The 19,250-nt window shown below is 36.3% G+C and overlaps 1 protein-coding gene across 8 annotated transcripts in view; it reads left to right on the top strand.

Annotated features, from left to right (window-relative positions):
• Window positions 1–19,250, top strand: part of FHIT (fragile histidine triad diadenosine triphosphatase) — a 1,504,176-nt gene that overhangs the window by 353,041 nt on the left and 1,131,885 nt on the right. The window contains exon 4 of one of the 8 annotated variants that reach the window (NR_148922.2): window positions 9,914–10,159. The exons of the other annotated variants lie outside the window; for them this stretch is intronic. The gene's annotated coding sequence lies outside the window, so the exon portion shown is untranslated. Of the gene's footprint in view, window positions 1–9,913; window positions 10,160–19,250 lie in introns of those variants that run through there. 8 annotated transcript variants of the gene reach the window in all.

Below are 19,250 nucleotides of genomic sequence, written 5' to 3'. Positions count from 1 at the left end.
AATCTTGTGTACTATTTAATCCTGCAATTCCACATTTAGGTATTTATCTTAAAGAAGCATTTGAACAAATTCATGAAGGTGTGTGTCTGAGTAAATTTTCTCAGAGTTGTTTACGATATTTTTTTTAAATCCTAAGAGCACAATATTTGGTTCAATATTTTATGTCTTTATACAGTATAATACCATGTAGCCTTTTAAAATGCCTTTGCAGACAACTTAGTAACATGGAAAGATGTTTATATTAAATGAAAATGGAAACAGATTACAAAATAGCAAGTATAGTAGAGAACAGAGGGTTTTTTTAATAGGTATAAAAAGAAGAGAGTTTTTAAATAGGTGTGTGTTTACATATATGCCCTAAAATATTAACAGTTCCAACATCTTGATTTGTTTTTGCCTAGCTGTAGTTTTAATTTTATCCTAAAATAAACATGGATTATTTGATAATAAAAATAATAAGAGAAAATGTACCCATCAATGAGAGACAATAAAGTATACTATTGGTGATTCTTGCTTTGTGAAAGTATGTGATTATAAAACAGATTTGTACTACTAATTCTTATTTGCTCTAGAGAAAGATTCCTATGGTTATGATGAGTGAGTAATGTGTTCTTTAGTAATTTAGGTTTAGTTTACAGCTCTCTAGTGAAGCTGGCCTGCTGAGGAAACCTGGGGTTAGGGAAAATGAAAGGGATGCAGCTAGGAAATGAAGGGCCTGCAGAAATAAAGGTCATGCAGTTTTGAAGTTGCCCAGCGGTCAGTAGGCAAATAGGATTTTCTTCTTACATACATTCCCATGTATAGTGTAATGAGGGATACTTAAAAATTAGCCAGTATAAGAAATTGCTTTATAACAAAAAGGAAAAGCACAAGGAAAGGTTTTTCACAATTCAAACTTCAGATGTAGTAAAATCTGATTGTGTAAAGTTAGAAATTAAACAAAATCCTCTTTGGCATGGCAAAAAACCATAAACCACACGTAATAAACCAGGAGGAAATAGTTGCAAGATGTATTTCTGATAAAATGCTAATATTGCTAATATATAGAAAGTTACTACACGTTGAGGAGACTAAAGAGACCATAAATCCGATAGAAAAGCAGCAAAGACCTAGAAAGTTCACAAAAATTGATAAAAAAGGGTCCTTAAGTATATGAAAATATGTTCAACTTCTCTCATAATAATATGTGCAGCATCATCGTGGTTATGTTGTAATGAGGAGATTGTTTGAATGAGCCATAATACATTAATGCAGTAGTGTGCTGTAAAATAGGATGAGGAAGATCCCTGTGAATCGGGATTGGAGTGATCACCAGAAGATATTGGTAGTGCAAAAAGCAAAATGTGGAAGACTATATATAGCATGCTGCATTTCAGGTAGAAAGAAGGGGAAATAAAAATGTCTTTATCTATGTGTCTGATTATTTTTGCAAAAGGATACACAGGAAGGATAAACTAGAAGATATGAAATTGGTCATCTACAGGGTGGGAATAGCATTAGAAGAGTTAGGGAAGGAAGACAGTGATGTAGTACTTCTCTGAATACCTTTTTATATAGTTTTGAGTTTGAAACCATGTTCATGGTTTGTATATTCCGAAATAACATTAAATAACAAGATGGGGGAAATTGAGTACAGAGTAAATGAACCTAACTATATATCAAATGGATGACATGATTACACATAGGAAAAAAATACTGATTCAAGTTATTTTGAATGCAGTACCTTGACTTCAATTTGGTTGGAAGGTACCTGCCCAGGTGGTTTCCCAGATGGGCATGGCCTTCAATCAAACAACAGAAGTACTGGAAAGAAATCTTGAACTTTATACATTTGTTCTTGGTTGTGTTATTTGTGGGACAATTCTGAAATTACTTTGTATCCATTGTAGGATTAAGTAAATGTATTATTTTGTGGGGAGTCAGGCTTATCACTGTGGAAGGAGGGCAGTACAACTGTGGATTGGGGAAAGGCAAGGAAGAGCCTGAGCTATTGGATGGAGATTAGAAGTATCAATAGGAAGACATGACTCAATATATATTTATAATTCTTACTTGTCCTCTTAAAGGGCCTGCAAGCAATAACACTCCTAGCAGCAGTGAACACACTGAGTGCCCAGCTCTTGCTTTCTAAATAGCATTCCCCACTAAAAATAAGGGCCCTTAGAACAGTGGTCCCCAACCTTTTTGGCACCAGGGACCGGTTTCATAGAAGACAATTTTTCCATCGGTGGCAGGGGAGCGGGGATAGTTTCAGGATGAAACTGTTCCATCTAAAATCATCAGGCATTAGTTAGATTCTCATAATGAGTATGCGCAGTTCACAATAGGGTTAATGTTGCCATGAGAATCTAATGCAGCTGACCTGACAGGAGGCGGAGATCAGGCAGTTAGGTTCCCCTGCCCGCTGCTCACCTCCTAGTGTGCAGCCAGTTCCTAACAGGCCACAGACTGGTACCAGTCTGCAGCCTGGAGGTTGGGGATGGGGACCCCTGCTTAGAGCAATGACTAATTGCAGTTTCAGAGCAGGGAAAGGACAAGAAAAGCCTGGAACATTTTGTTGTGCCAGAAAATAAAAACTGATTAAAAAAAAAATGAGGACCTGTCTGAATGACACAGGAACCAGCTTGAAATGGGACACTTAAGAATCAAATGAGTAAGATATAACCAAAAGAAAGAAGAAAGAAAGAAAGAAAGAAAGAAAGAAAGAAAGAAAGAAAGAAAGAAAGAAAGAAAGAAAGAAAGAAAGGAAGGAAGGAAGGAGGGAAAGGAAGGAAAGAAGGGAGAAAGGGCAGCTGTTTCTTGCACTAGAAAACCAACTAATTGCTGTGAAAGAAATAATAGAGTTAGAAAAATCACTTTTTTACAACTATTATAGTAATAATTGATTCAGAGTAGAATTGTCAATAGGTGTTAAACCATTGAGTGAAAGCTTGTTGATTAGCAGGGTGTTTACACAGTCAGAAAAAAGTCTTCCCATACATTATTAATTATAAAAGGGAAAAAGAGGAATACCTGCACATACACACACATACAGTGAGGTAATCTGGCAGAAAACACCTTATTTAAGGAATCAAGGTTAACACATCAAGAATGGGACCAAGTTTCATCAGGTGCCAACTGATGTAATGCAATGAGAAGGATATGCTATCACTTAGGTAGTATGCCTTTCAAAAACATGTACTATGAATCTAATCCTCATATAACAGTCAGACCAGCATAGATTCTCTGAAAAGCCACAGGCCTGTCCTCTTCAAGAATGTTAATGACATGATGGGCAAAGGAAGGCTGAGAAAGTATTCCAGCTTCAAGGAGGCTAAAGAGACATGACAGCTAAAAGCCAGTGCGATCCTAGACTGGAGGAAAGTGGCCATACAGGACACTCGGGATTGAAGAAAAGTAAATATGGACTACGTGTAAGATAGTATTCTATCAACGTTAAAGTCCCTGATTTTGATCATTGTATGTGTGAGAGACTACTGTAATTCCTAGAAGCTTTTAATGTTCACACCTACACCGAAATGGTTTAGCAAAAACCACTTTTCATTTGTTTGTTTGAGGGAAGGGGAGCAGAGGAGGAGGAAGAGATAAAGCAAATATGGCAAAATAATAGCAAATGGATGAATCTTGGGAAGACAGTATGGGATGTTCATGATATGATTCTTGCAAGTTTTCCACAGTTTTGAATATTTTAATTTTTTAAAGAGTGTTTTTTGTTTTTTTGTTTGTTTTTTTTTGTTTTGTTTTGAATACTAAAAGCTCTTTGAATTTTTTGCCGAGCCCCAGAGCTTTGAATATCAAGGAGCCTAACTTTCCAGATGCAGTGACTGCACTTGGCCTCCATTTCAAGATAGCTCATTTCATTCTCTTTAATGCTGTCACCCAAATGACTCCAAGGGGTATCTGTGCGTCTCACATCATCTCTTGACTAAAAAATCCTTTCACCCATTGCTGTGAAATTGGATCCTGGGGTCAAGGGGTGACAGAATTTATGTGCTCCTTCTCTCCTGGAAGTACCATAATTGTTTGCATCCCTGAGGCAGCATAGAATGCCTTGGAAAGGACGGGGTGACTCTGGGAATAAGCCATGCATAGTTTTGTCTGGCACAGGGGAGAAAGTGTCCAATAATGTTCACCTGAAAGGCTTTAGCCTTTTGGAACTAATGTATGTTAACGTTTATTTGTATCTAACAATAGCCTTTTTTGATGTGGTTAACTATACACGAGGTTAAGAATGAATGTCATCCTTTCCCATCTTTTGTTTCAGATGCCAGATAAACCAAATCAAACAAAAGCAACCCCCATCCCCACAATAAAAAGCATGCTAAATGTTTGATGTAGTTAGTGAGGATGAATTTAGAGGTTGTCAGAACCTAAGTGTTGATTTCAGGGAAGGCCAGATTCAGAGAATTCATTCTTGGCATTCTGACAACAGTGAACCTTTCCCATTATTCTAGAATGGGCCTCACTAGGGAAATATAAATTGTATACCACCCTTCTGGGATTTCTACCTGACTTTGATTACTTGTCCTAACCCCTATGTGGTGCCTTGATTTCTCTCTCTTGGTTTGTGCTAGTTTAGTGATAGTGGATGGAATCCTTGACTTTAATTTGGTTGGAAGGTACCTGCCCAGGTGGTTTCCCAGATGGGCATGGCCTTGGGGTAAACATGAAAGGGTCAGCCCTGGAGCTAGGTCAGGTGCAGTGGCAGTCATTAGGCATTAAGGATGGCTTGGAGAGATGTGGTTGCCTAGCTTAGCAGAAGTTATTCTAGCTGTCAAGAAAAGTATAATACCAACATTGCCTACATCTGTGGCAAATCTTGTCACACAAAGGAAACTATCAGGAAAGAGTATGGCTTTCTTGGCATCTACAGAGTAGAGTAATCAGTAAATATTGGCTACATAATAATTGGAACTAACTTTAATAAATATATATTTGTACACTTTAAAGTGTAGGAAAAATCTTCCCTTTAACCATTTTAGTTTCTTGGCTAGGGCTCTATAACAAAAGACAGATTAATAAGAGAAAAGCATACAAATGTATTTAATACAAGTTTTATGTGTCACTAGAGCATTCATAAGGAAGGAAAATCTGATGAATCAGTTAAACCTGAGTGCTTTTATACTAGGTTTGATGAAGAGTGGAAACTTGTGGAAAAGCATATGAACTAAGTGTAGTAAACTAGGGGAAACTTACCAAGGCTGGTTCCTGGAGTTTCTTCTCCGTGTGTCCCTCCATCTTCAGAGATAAGGATGCTCCTTTTCTCTGGGTTTAGGGAGGGACCTCTCACACAAGGGGCTTCTGACCTGCTTCAGAGAGTCCTTCCAGCACATGCTGTTTCTCAGACTCCTTCAGCTTAAAATATTCAAAATGCCAAGGTGCCATGTTTTGTGGTAGCATGTTCTGAACCCCATCAAAAGTCATATGTACCCATTGCAGAAAATCTGGACAACAGAGATTTCTATAAATATAAAAGTAGACATTACCGGTAACTCCACTATGCAGTTAAAGCTGTATTTTTTTAATCCATGCATGGATATTTTAACATAGTTGTATTTTGTAGTTATGTATCTTTTCACTTAACCTTATATCATATGCATTTACGCATATTATTACAAAGTATTTATAATCATAACTTTAATGACTAAATACTATTCTCCTAGATGGCAGAATTTAATTTTCACTCTACTGTAGGGCATTTAATGTCTTTCTAATGCTTTTATGCTTCCAGTAATGTTAGTATCAATGTTTATAAATTTACTTGTTTGAGACCAACAAATATTTATTTATAAGTATGCATAATTTGCCTTTTTCCCACCTTCTCAGGAGAAAGGATAGCTGCTTCTGTCCTAAGAAGGTGCTGAGCAGAGTAATAGCAGGAGTTATAGACGTCTAATATACATTACACTCTAATATACACTCTAATATACATTACAAAAGACAAGGGAATTACCCAGAGGTAAAGCTCCAAGGGTGGAGAGCACAGAGGTGACCTGAGAAAGGGTGTGTGGTGGGAGAGGGCTGGTTGAGTTGGTGGGTGTCAGTGAGAAAGAGAGCAAGGGTAGCTGTCAGTGTTAAAGCTGAGAGTATTGGAAACAATGGCAGTGCCTTCCAGGGGAGGCTATGGGCTTGCTTACTTTATATTTAGCCAAAAAAGATGATTTACATCTACTATTGCTATTATTTCAAAAAGAGGATATGTTAACACCAAAAGAAAAAACCAAACAAACCTGGAAGGATGAAATTTCAGGCTTTAAAAGTGAAATGAAATTGCTCCATTAAAACCTATCAAAGTTTCTTTATTTTTCTCATTACTCTGTGGACTATTGATGATTTGAACATACTCTGGCAACAGATCCCAATCCATGGACTGACATTGGGGAGCCATAAGACCAAATCACCTTTAAGGTCCATTGATTCAAGCAACAGAAACCTCGCATTTCATGAAGACTTGGTTTCCAGTCTTGGTGCCATATTTGATTTGATGGATGACTTTTGAACCACATGTCTCATTAATGTCTTAGTTTCCTTGTTTGCTCACTTAACTTTATGAAGATCAAGTATGATATTGTTTTTTGAAGTGCTGTTGTCTTAACGCCCGGGTACTTTCTGATCTATGGCTCAGAAAGGGAGTGTAATAAATTGTAATAAATTGCACTGTCCCAGAAAATAAATGGCATTCCATCATCCCATAGTTGTGCAGCAGCCCATCTTTTGGCAGTTTCTGAGAATGATTGCAAGAGATAGCAAATACAACTCAAAACAGCCTAGATGAAAATGATATTTTATTGGCTTATATACTGAAAAAATATAGACACGTATGACTTCTAGAACTGCTGGATCCAGAAGATCAAGTGATCTATGCATTGTTTGTTCTTAGGGTTTATCTCCCTGGAATGGCAAAAAGGCTGTCAGTTATATATACCCATTCCATTCTACCAGTTTAGCAACCCAGTGGGAAACAATAGAGTTTCTCATTTCCAATAGTATTGGTGAGAGTTCAAAGTTTTGATCTCATTGACACTGTCTTGAGTTATATGTCCAGGGTGATCAACCTGATCTGGGTGGTGTGCCCATGCCTGAAGCTGTGGGTAGAATCAAACCCTTCTGAGCAACATGGACTAAGAATAAAGATGGAGTAGTTTTTCAGAAAATTGGGTTGCTGGTAAAAGAAGATGGGTGCACGGATGATGGGAAGGTAGAACAACATAGAGAGAGCTACTATAAAGTAGCAGTAGCCTGTCAAGCCAGGAAATGCAGCCAGTAGAACTGCCCTGGCCTTTCTAGGAAGGTCTTCTAGGACTGTGTGTAAGACATTCTCTACTGACTGCCACAACATCACTGTATAGTGACAGGCAGTGTCTTTGGCATCAATTAAATCCTAATACCACTAAGCAGAAATTAAAAAGCTTTAATGAGATCTTCAACCTATTGACGAATGCCCATGACAGTAGCTCATGCCATTGATGTGTGGAGTCAAATATCTTTACCCACTGGGGATGTCATCATTTAAATGGCCCTATTGATTTTGAGTTTTGGCAGAGCTTCTTTAACCCTGGGAGGCTCCAAGTTGCCTGAAGGGACGTAGCCTAAGACATAACTAACTCCATGTTATGTAGTCATGAATTGGACCCAAACTAACTTAATCATCTGTCCTAGGGCAGTCTGTTCTAGGCAGAATCTCTGGGAAAACTAGAGCAGTTCATTTTATGTTTTATGTTTATTGATGAATTCATTTGGAAAAGCTGCTCCTAGGCATTCCACACATTCTAGTCATATAAGAGGGACTACTTGCACAGAAAATGTTTAATTATTGTACCAAGTTTAGATGCAGGTTTACAAAATGAATTTTCAGGTTATCAGTTTGGGTTATTGTTTCAGTTATTGATTGCTGTGTAATAGACTACCTCAAAACTTCTGTTGCTTAAACCAACAGTGATTCATTATTTTTCAAGGTTCTGTAGGTCAGGAATTGGGGCGTGGCTTGGCTGGGTAGTTGTTCCGCTCCATTTGGTGTAGGCTGGGTCAATCACTAGGCTGCATTCAGCTTTCGGCTATGCTGCCCTGGAAGATCAACGGATTCACTCGTATCTGTGCATTGGTGCTGTGCACATGACCTCAGTCTCTTCACAAGTGTTTATCATGTAGTATTCTGGATTGGCCTTTTTTTTTTTTTTTTTTTTTTTTTTTACATCATGGAAGCTAATTTTTTGGAAAGTTTCAAAGTAGAAGCTGCCAGCCTTGTTAAGGACTACCTGGAAGTAGAACACTGTGACATCTGTGCACTCAATGGGCCATAGCAAGTCAGAAAACCAACCCATATTCAATAGGAGAGTACATTATTAAAAATAGTTTTACTGATGTATTAAGCATGTGTTGACACAGTTTTATTTGGATGTTCATAAACTCTGACTGAAAAGATTATTTTAAAAAACTGAGCTGGAGCTAGCATAAGGGTATGTGCACAGACATAGACATATTTTTAAACATCTATATCTTAAAGGATCAATATGAGTTTCCCCTTTTGACAAAAAGGATTGCATATCTCATTCTGTTTACCTTTTTGTCCTGTCTACCAAGAAGCCCAGACGTAAATTGAATCATATTAACCCAATTTGCCTCTTCTTTTGATTCCTGGCTTTGATTTTCTCTTTTGATTTACTTACCTATTTCTGTCAATATTTATTTTGAGCCTATTGAGGAATGGCTGCATATACAATTTTTAAAATGAACCACCCATACAGCTATAGGGTACTACACTGTAGCATATACTACATTGTAGCATGAAAGCTTCTAAGCTACAGTCCTCACTATTGCCTCCACTGGTAAATTGTTTTTTGTAGGAATGAACTAGAAGAATGTTTGTTCATCAGTGAGCAGTTGGTCTGGCATATAGAAGTGCTCTATAGATTGTAGCTATTAAAAATTGATCTTTATATAAATGAATGTCAAAGTGGTTGTTATATATAAAGTTTCGGTGCCGCAAAAGAAACGGCATCGAATATAAAATTTTCTTTTAATTCTCAGCAAGGCAAGTTACTTCTACAGAAGGGTACGCCCTTACAGATGGAACAATGGTGAGCGCACACTTGGACAAGGGAGGGGAAGGTGTTCTTATCCCTGAGGCACATGGCCCCTGCTGCCGTGTCGTTCCCCTGTTGGCTAGGATTAGACCACGCAGGCGAAACTAATTCCAATTGGCTAATTTAAAGAGAGTGAGGGGGTGAGTGCTTTGGAGGGAAAAAAAATGGTTATGCAGCGTGGAGAATGAGTCAGGGCAGAGCAGGTAGCAGGTAATCAGAATGAGTCAGGGTGGAGTAGGTGATCGGAATGAGTTGGGGTGGAGTAGGAATTGGAATGAGTCGGGGTGGAGTAGGTAATCGAAAAAGGTTACTTTACGAGGAAGTTAAGTTTAAAAGTAGAAGGCAAAGAATTGAACATACTGGCATATTTATTCTTTGATGAGAAATTTAGAACTTATATCTAACATGGTGAAATCTGAGGTGGATTGTATCAATGTCAATATCTTGATTTACCATTGGGAGAAACTGGGTGATGGATACAAAAGATCTGTCTATATTATTTCTTACCACTGCAAGTGAATCTATAATTATCTCAAAATAAAAAGTTAAATAAATACATGTTACAGAACTATCACTTTTATATGTTCCAAACAAAACCATTGTTCTTATATGGACATTATGCCTATTGAATGTAATCAAGTAATATCTTAAATGTGTTTAAATATATACCAATTAGTTGGTTGCCGGCTGTGAAACTTTTCATTTATATGAATATCTTATTTCTTTGTCTTTTTTCCTAGAATAAGTCAAGAAACAGAAATAATTTGACATGTTATTCTAAAGCTATCATTTAAAGGAGATCAATAAACCTATATTTTTTTTTTTCTTAGAAAGAAAATTTAAAAGGGATCTTCAGCTCAGGATGTGTCAGGAGGAAGTGGGAGATACTGACACTGACCCCAGAAGAAATTTGAATTGGAATTTGATGCGTAGAATTCTACTATAATCTTTGTATTCCTATGTTGAATGTGTAGCGGCTTTCCCTTGTATCCTCGCCACCTTGCTGCCTTTTGAAACACTCAGGAAATATAGTTGGCTAAAACTGAACAAACAATAAACCTTAGGCATTGAATGGAGTTGGAGAAAATGCGGTGCTTTAGCATATTTTAACTGTTAATGTGCAACCCAAATGTCCCTGGACCCTGAAGGGCATATCCACATGTCCTCAGGAGTTAAAGTCAGATTACAACCTTCCCTCCAGGGTTCACAGTTCTTGGAGTGTTAGAAAGCTCATAACCTGGGAAGCAGAAGCCCCAGATTTCAGGCCGGACTTAATTACCAACTTGTTGTTTCTTTGGAAATATCATTTAATCTTTTAGGGATTACACTTTTCCCTATCCTCAAATCAAGGAGATTGGATCAGAGTTCACTAAGAGTCCTTTTAGCTCAGATATCGCATTATTTTCCATATAGACGTTCATGTTTATCAATCAACATTTGTAAGGGAAATTTCCTTTTATGTTTTCATAGAAAAGAGTACTTATAGACAGGCTAAAATTCATTGTTTTTAAATAGTCTTTGCTTGTCTCCTCCTGTCCCCCACACCAAATTCCTGGCACTACCTCAGCTGTGACTGATTTCTTGACATTTACTACATTCTGGCCAGAAGTCAGAACCCTTTTTTGGTAAAAGGGAGCTTAAAATTTCAAAATTATTTACTCTTTTTTTTTGTTTTTTGTTTTGGGACGGAGTTTCACTCTTGTTGCCCAGGCTGGAGTGCAGTGGCACAGTCTCGGCTCACTGCAACCTCTGCCTCCTGGGTTCAAGCGACTCTCCTGCCTCAGCCTCTTGAGTAGCCGGGATTACAGGCGTGTGCCACCACGCCTGGCTAATTTTTGTATTTTTTAGTAGAGATGGGGTTTCACCATCTTGGCCAGGCTGGTCTCGAACTCCTGACCTCAGATGATCTGCCCACCTTGGCCTCCCAAAGTGCTGGGATTACAGGCGTAAGGCACCGTGTCTGGCTCTACTATTTTTATCTTATACACTTTAAAAGCGTATTTTAACCAACTAATGAGAAAAGGCATATATGTAAAAAACAAAACAAAACAAAAGTCCTAACAGAACTGAACAACAAGTTTAAGCAGAGAAAAATAGGGATCGGAAGAAGTCATTCTAGACGACCTAAACAAGTTAGTTCTGCTCTGAGCTTCTTAGATGGCCAAGGCCATCTAAGAGAAGCAAGTTACATAACTGCCATTAGTTGCAAAAGGAAGAATACCACTTTGTCAGGAGAGACAAATTTTTCCTAACTGTAAGAAAAACTTTTTATATCAATCGTTATATATATGATGGTAAAAAAATAACATAGTTGATAACATTTGCAAATATAGTCAAATGAAGTTTGCTGTGAGATTATAGATCTAATTGTTTCCTAGATTCACCCTGGATAACAAACCACGGCATGCTATAAACTGAAACTCTGAAAAGACATTTGTACAGGTTGCTAATGTATTATGACCTAGGTAGTAGATAGTCTAGATAGCCTTTCTACTGAGCTAATTTGGTGTAGGGATAGAATGTTGAGTAAATGGAGGAATGTATTAACTGGCATTCAAGAATAGCTTCTTCCTGACCTAACCAGGAAGATCTATTTAAAAAAGAACAATACAGACAGAGGGTAGGACTCCATCATACCGTTTTTCATGACAATGAGTACTTGGAATTTGTTTCTTCAGGAATCTCTAGAATGTGTTTTTTTCTACCTCTAGATCAGCTTTAAAACCCTACCTTTCTGTCTTGATGCCAACTGCCCCTCTATTTTTTCCATATACTAGGTTTCTAGCAACCACAGATTCTGGATTATTTCTCTTACCAGAAGTCAATGTGATATTTGCTAAATACCATTGTCCCTATGAGTATTACATGAAAGGTTGCTTTTACCACTCTTGATCTCTTAGCCTTCTGATGATAATGACATATTAATTATGGAAAAGCCAAGAAGATTGCAGGCAAAAATAATAGTTTTTCAAGTTCTTCTCATGAATATTGGATCACTTTCTTATTAGCATAGGCGCCTTGCCAAGATTTTTCAATGCTTGTAATTTGGATGGCAAGCATCCTGGGGAGGGATCATATTTGCTTGTGTGCTCTGCTTGGCAATTGGCCTATTTTTAGCCATTCATGGTATTAACCCCCAAATAAGATAATCAAATTTGTCAAATAAACCCCAGATAATTGAGTCTTATGGATTCGATATTACATAAGGATATGATTTAAAAATAACTTGGTATTAAGGCAAAGATGTGTTTTATTTATTTAAGTTTATTCATTTGTGCAACAGATATTTATTGAGCATTTAATATGTGCCAAGCAATGGTTTAGGAAAGACAAGATATTGCTCTCATTGAGCTTTTATTTTATTTGGGAGAGGGGGAAATAAATATGGGAGCCAATAAATGAATATGGTAAGTCAGGCATTGAGGATATTCCTAAGACTGTAAAACATATGAATGTGTCAGAGGTTATTGGTGTAAAGGACAATTAGAGGAGGCATCTGGAGGAGGTGATATTTGAGCTGAGAGTTAAATGTCAAGCAAGAGCCCACCTTGCAAAATATTTTGGGAAAAGTACTCCAGGTAGAGAAGTTAACAAATATAAAAGACTTGTTGCCATAATAAGCTCATGATGTATCAGAAAGAGGAAAAAAGGCCAAAGTGACTGGGGTAGTGAGGTTGATAATTGGTGAGGAGGTAGAAGTGGACAAGAGTCAATTTTGAAGAGTTTCATAGACCTTGGCTGGGAGACTGGAATTTCTCATAAGAGTAACTGTTAAACAATGAAGAGTTTTAGGCCAAGGCATGACATGATCTGATTTATATTTTAAAATACTTATTATTGCTCATAAGTCTGTCATAAAAACTCTCTTATAAGATTTTCAGTGGCTAATAGATCACTTTTTGTATGCAGAAGGGTTTATTTACTATAATTTGGGCTTTTAACAAAAGTTTAATTTATTAAAGATATATTTTAAACTTAATGTTTTTTATTATTGATACATAATAATTATACATATTTATAGGCTCATGTGATACTTTAGTACATGCATACAACGTGCAATGATCAAATCAAGGTAATTAGGATATCCAGCACCTTGAACATTTATCATTTCTTTGTGTTAGGAACATTTCAAATTCTCTCTTGCAGCTATTTTGAAATATGTAACAAATTATTGTTAACTATAATCACCCTGCTGTGCTATCAAACACTAGAACTTATTCCTTCTATCTAGCTGTCTTTTTATATCTATTAACCAACCTCTCTTCACCCCTCTTGCCACCCTTTCCAGGCTCTAGTAGCACCCATCAACTTTCTACCTCCATGAGATCCACACTTTTAAGCTTCCACATAGGAGTGAGAGAATGTAATATTTGTCTGTCATTCTTATTATTTTTCTTCTTCTTCTTTTTTTTTTTTTTGAGAAAGGGTCTCAGTCTGTCACCTAGGCTGGAGTAAAGTTAAAATGGCACAGACACGGCCCTCTGCAGCCTCAATTTTCTGGGCTCAAGCGATCTTCCCACTTTGGTCTTCCAAGTAGCTAGGACAGCCAGTTAATTTTTTTATAGAGATAGAATCTTGCCATATTACCCAGGCTGGTCTCAAACTCCTGGGCTCAAATAATCCTCCCTCAGCCTCCCAAATTGCTGGGATTCCAGATATGAGCCACTTAGCCCAGCCAATATTTGTCTGTGTTGGGCTTATTTCACATAAAAATAATGACCTCCAGTTCCATGTTGCTGCAAATAGGATTTTATTATTTTTTAAAATATATTTTAGGCTTAATTGTATAAAATAAGCGGAATAGTATTTCATTGTGTGTATATACCACATTTTCTTTATCTTTTCATCCATAGCTGATGGACACTTAGGTTGATTCCATATCTTGGCTATTATGAATAGTGCTGCAGTAAACATGGGTATGCAGATATCTCTTCAATATCCTGATTTCCTTTCTTTCAGATATATACCCAGCAGCAGGATTGCTGGGTCACATTGTAGATATTTTTAGTTTTTTTGAAGAACCTCCATACCGTTTTCCATAATGGCTGTACTAATTTATATTCCCACTATCAGTACACTAGCATTCCTCTTTTACTGTATCCTCTCCAGCATCTGTTATTGTTTGTCTTTTTCATAGTAGCCATTATAACTGTGGTGAGATGGTATCTCACTGTGGTTGTGATTTGCATTTCCCTGAGGATTACGGATGCTGAGCATTTTTTCATATGCCTCTTGTCCATTTGTATGTCTCCTTTTAAGAAATGTCTATTCAGGTCTTTTGCCCAGTTTAAAACTGAATTATTAGCATTTCTGCTATTGAGTTGTTTGAGTTCCTTATATATTTTGGTTATTAATCCCTTGTCAAATGGATAGTTTGCAAATATTTTCTCCCATTCTGTGGGCTGTCTCTTCATTCTGTTGATTGTCTCCTTTGCTGTACAGATGCTTTTTAGCTTGATATAATCCCATTTGTCTATTTTAACCTTTGTTGCCTTTATATTTGAGGTCTTATCCAAAAAATCTTTGCCCAGACCAATGCCCAGAAGCATTTTCCCCAATGTTTTCCTCTTAGTTTTATAGTTCGAGGCCTTACATTTAATTATTTAGTCCATTTTGATTTGATTCTTGTATATGTGAGAGACAGAGGTCTAGTTTCATTTTTTCTGCATATGGATATCCAGTTTTCCCAGCATCATTTATGAATAGACTGTCCTTTGCACACTCAATGTTTTTGGCATTTTGTCAAAAATCAGTTTGCTATAATTAAAGGATTTACTTCTGATTTATCTGTTCTGTTCCACTGGTCTATGTGTTTGTTTTTACTCCAGTAACATGATGATTTAGTTATTATCACTTTCTTGTATATTTTAAAGTCAGATAATGTGCTACCTCCAGCTTTGTTCTTTTTGCTGGGGATTGCTTTGGCTATTTGGGGTCTTCAGTGGTTCCACATAAATTTTAGGATTTTTTCTAATCCTGTGAAGAATGATATTGGTATTTTGAAAAGGTTTACATCAAATCTGTAAATTGTTTTTGGTAGCATTGTCATTTTAACAATATAAGTTCTTCCAATTCATGAATATGGGATATTTTCCTTTTTTTGTAACCAGATCTTCAATTTCTTTTATCAGTGTCCTGTCATTTAATTGTAGAGATCTTTTGCTTCCTTGGTTAGATTTATTCCTAGGTATTTTATATTTTCTTTCTGTAGCTATTGTAAGTAAGGTTGCTTTCTTGCTTTATTTTTTCACTAGTTCATTGTTGGTGTATAGAAATGGTACTGATTTTTGTATGTTAATTTGTATCCTGCAACTTTACTGATTTTGTTGTCTCATTCTAAGAATGTTTTGGTACAGCTTATATGGGTTTCTGTATTTAAGATTATGTCATCTGTAAACAGGGACAATTTGACTTCTTCCTTTCCATTTTGAATGCCCTTTATTTCTTTCTCTTGCCTAATTGCTCTGGCTAGGACTTCCAATGTTATGTTGAATAACAGTGGTGGGAGTGGGCATCATGGTCTTGTTCTAGTTCTTAGAAGAAAAGCTTTTAGCTATTCCCTGTTCAGTATAATGTTAGGTATGGATTTGTCATATATGGCCTTCACTATGTTGAGGTGCACTTATTCTATACTTAGTTTGTTCAGGGTTTTTATCAGGAAGGGATGTTGAATTTTCTTTTCTTTTTCTGCATCTATTGAGATGATCATATGGTGTTTGTCTTTCATTTTGTTAATGTGAAGTATCACATTTATTGATTAGCATATGTTGAACCGTCCTTGCATCGCTGGGATAAATCCCACTTGATCATGGTGAATGTTCTTTTTAATGTGATGCTGGATTCAACTTGCTAGTATTTTGTTGAGGATGTTTGCATCGATGTTCATCAGGGATTTTGGCCTTTTTTTGTTGTGTCCTTATCTGGCTTGGTATCAGGGTAATAATGGTCTTGTAGAATCAGCTTGAAAGAATTCCCTTCTCTTTTATTTTCTAGAAGAGTTTGAGAAGGATGGGCATTAGTTCTTCTTTAAATGTTTGGTAGAATTCAGTAGTGAAGCTATCAGGTCCTGGGCTTTTCTTTGATAGAACATTTTTAAAATTATTGATTCAACTTGTTGCTTGTAATTGGTGTGTTTAGGTTTTCTATTTCTTCTAGGTTCAATCTTGTTAGGTTGTCTAGGAATTTGTTTCTGTTTGGTTTTCCAATTTGTGGGTGTACAGTTGTTTGTACTAGTCTCTAATGATCTTTTGTATATGTGGGTTATCAGTTGTAAGGTCTCTCTTTTTGTTTCTAATTTTATTTATTTGGGACATTTTTCTTGGTTAGTTTAGCTCGTGGTTTGTTAATTTTGTTATCTTTTCAAAAAAAGTTTTAAAAATTGATCTTTTGTAAGTTTTAGTCTCAATTTCATTTATTTCTCCTCTGATCTTTGTTATTTCTTTCCTTGTACTAATTTTGGGTTTGGTTTGTTCTTGTTTTCATTTTTGTTCTTGCACTGTTAGATTATTTATTTAAAGTCTTTCTACTCTTTTGATGTGTTTATTGTTATAAACTTTTCTCTTAGCACTGTTTTTGCTGTATCTCATAAGTTTTGATATGTTGTGCTTCCATTTTCATAAATTTTTAAATTTTCTTCTTAATTTCTGTATTGAGTCTTTGGTTATACAGGAGCATGTTGTATTCATAGAGCTTCCAAAAGTCCCTCTTGTTATTGATTTCTAGTTTTATTCCATTGTGTTCAGAAAAGATACTTGATATGATTTCACTTCTTTTAAATTTGTCGAGACTTATTTTGTGGCCTTTGTGATCTGTCCTTGAGGATGTTCCATGTGCTGATGAAAATAATATGTATTCTGCCACTGTCAGTTGAAATGTTCTGTAAATGTCTGCTAGGTCCATTTGAGCTAAAATGCAGTATAAACTCAATGTTTCGTTGTTGATTTTCTTTCTAGATGGCCTATCCAGTGATGAGAGTGGGGTCCCCAACTATTATGGCATTGGGGTCTATCTCTCCCTTTGGATTGAATACTATTTAATTTATATATCAATGTGTTCCAGTGTTGGATGCATATATAACTGTTGTAGCTTCTTGCTGAATTGATTCCTTTATCATTATATGATGATCCTCTTTGTCTCTTTTTACAGTTTTTTCACTTAAAGTCTGTTTTATCTGATACAAGTAAAGCTACTCCTGCTCGCTTTTTATTTTTATTTGCATGGAGTATCTTTTTCTATTCCTTTGCTCTTAATCTGTATGTATCCTTAGTAGTGAAGTGAATTTCTTATAGAAAGCATATAGTTGGATCATGTTTTTGTTTTCTTTTGTTTTAAATCAATTAAGTCAGTCTATGTCTTTAAGTGGGGAATTTATTCTGTTAACATTCAAGGTTATTATTGATAAGTCATGACTTGCTTCTGTCGTTTTGTTAACTATTTTCTGGTTATTTTGCATATCCTTTGTTCTTTCTTCTCTTATTATTTATCATTGTGGTTTAGTGATTTTCTGTAGTGATAAGTTTTGCTTCTTTTCTCTTTTTTTCTGTGTATCTGCTCTACTAGTGAGTTTGTTGTTGTTGTTGTTGTTGTTGTTTGTTTTTGAGATGAGTTTCACTCTTGTTGCCCAGGCTGGAATGCAATGGCACGATCTCAGCTCACTGCAACCTCCACCTCCTGGGTACAAGTGATTCTCCTGCCTCAGCCTCCCAAGTAGCTGGGATTACAGGCATGTGCCACCACACCCAGCTAATTTTGTGTGTTGAGTAGAGACAGGATTTCTCCATGTTAGTCAGGCTGGTCTTGAACTCCCAACCTCAGGTGATCTGCCCACCTTGGACTCCCAAAATTCTGGGATTATAGGCGTAAGCCACCATGCTCAGCCTCTACCAGTGAGTTTTATACTTTTGTGTGTTTTCTTAGTAGTGATAATCATTTTTTGCTTCCAGATGCAGGAGTCCCTTTAGAATTTCTTGTAAAACTGTTCTAGTGGTGATGAATTCCCTGTTTTTACTTCTCTGAGAAACGTTTTATTTCTTCCTCATTTCTAAAGGATATATTTGCTGGATATAGTATCCTTGACTGACAGTTTTTTTCCTTCAGTACTTTGAATGTAGCTTTCTGTTCTTTCCTGGTCTATAAGGTTCTGCTGAAAGTCTTCTGTTAGTCTAATGGGGATTCCCTTAAATGTACTGTGACACATTTCTCTTGTTGTTTTTAGAATTCTTGCTTTGTCTTTGACTTTGACAATTGAACTATAATGTGCATCAGGGCTTGAATCTATTCGGGAACCTTTGAGTTTCCTGGATCTGTATATACACATCTCTATCCAGACTTGTGAAATTTTCAGCTATTAGATAATTAAATTAGGTTTTTTTTTTAATACATCTTTTCCTTCTGGAACTGCCATAATATGAAAATTTGTTCACTTAATGGTGTCCTATAAGTCTTGTAGTCTTTTTTAAAAACTCTTTTTCTTTCTTATTTTTTTTTCTCTCTAGCTAAGTAATTTTAAATAACCTATTTTTAGGTTCAGAGATTGTTTTCTATACTTAAGTCTGTTCTTGAAGCTGCCTATTGTATTTTTTATTTTATTAATTGAATTATTTTTTATAATATCTATCTCTGTTGAATTTCTAATTTATATAATAAATTCTTTTTCTGATTTTGTTGAATTGTCTATCTGTATTTTCTTGTATCTTGTTGAGTTTCTTAAGAGTACTAGTTTGTATTCCTTTTCTGGCAATTCATTGATTTTCTTGTCATTAGGGTTTGTTACTAGGGAGTTATTTTGTTCCTTTGGCATTGACATATTTCTTTGCTTTTTCATATTTCTTGTGTTTCTACATCAATGTCTATGCATTTGGTGGAAAAATTGCCTCTTCCAGACTTTCTAGAGTGGCTTTTGCAGAGAAAGACTTTCACCTGTAGTTGGATCTTAGTGTGCTAATTAGGAAAAGTGTGGTGACTTTGTTTCCAGGTAGGTTCAGTGGTATAGTATCTATGCAGTTTCTTCAGCTGCATTCAGTGTCAACAGTAACTGTGGATGCCTGAATGACTTAGGCTGTAAAAGTGTATGGTGGTGCTCATCATCACTGGCCATCAGAGAAATGCAAATCAAAACCACAATGAGATACCATCTTACACCAGTTAGAATGGCGATCATTAAAAAGT

This window comes from Homo sapiens, chromosome 3, assembly GCF_000001405.40.
Source record: "Homo sapiens chromosome 3, GRCh38.p14 Primary Assembly".
NCBI lineage: Eukaryota > Metazoa > Chordata > Mammalia > Primates > Hominidae > Homo > Homo sapiens.
The sequence above is the reverse complement of the archived record's forward strand: the minus strand, read 5'-3'. Positions and strand labels throughout refer to the sequence as shown.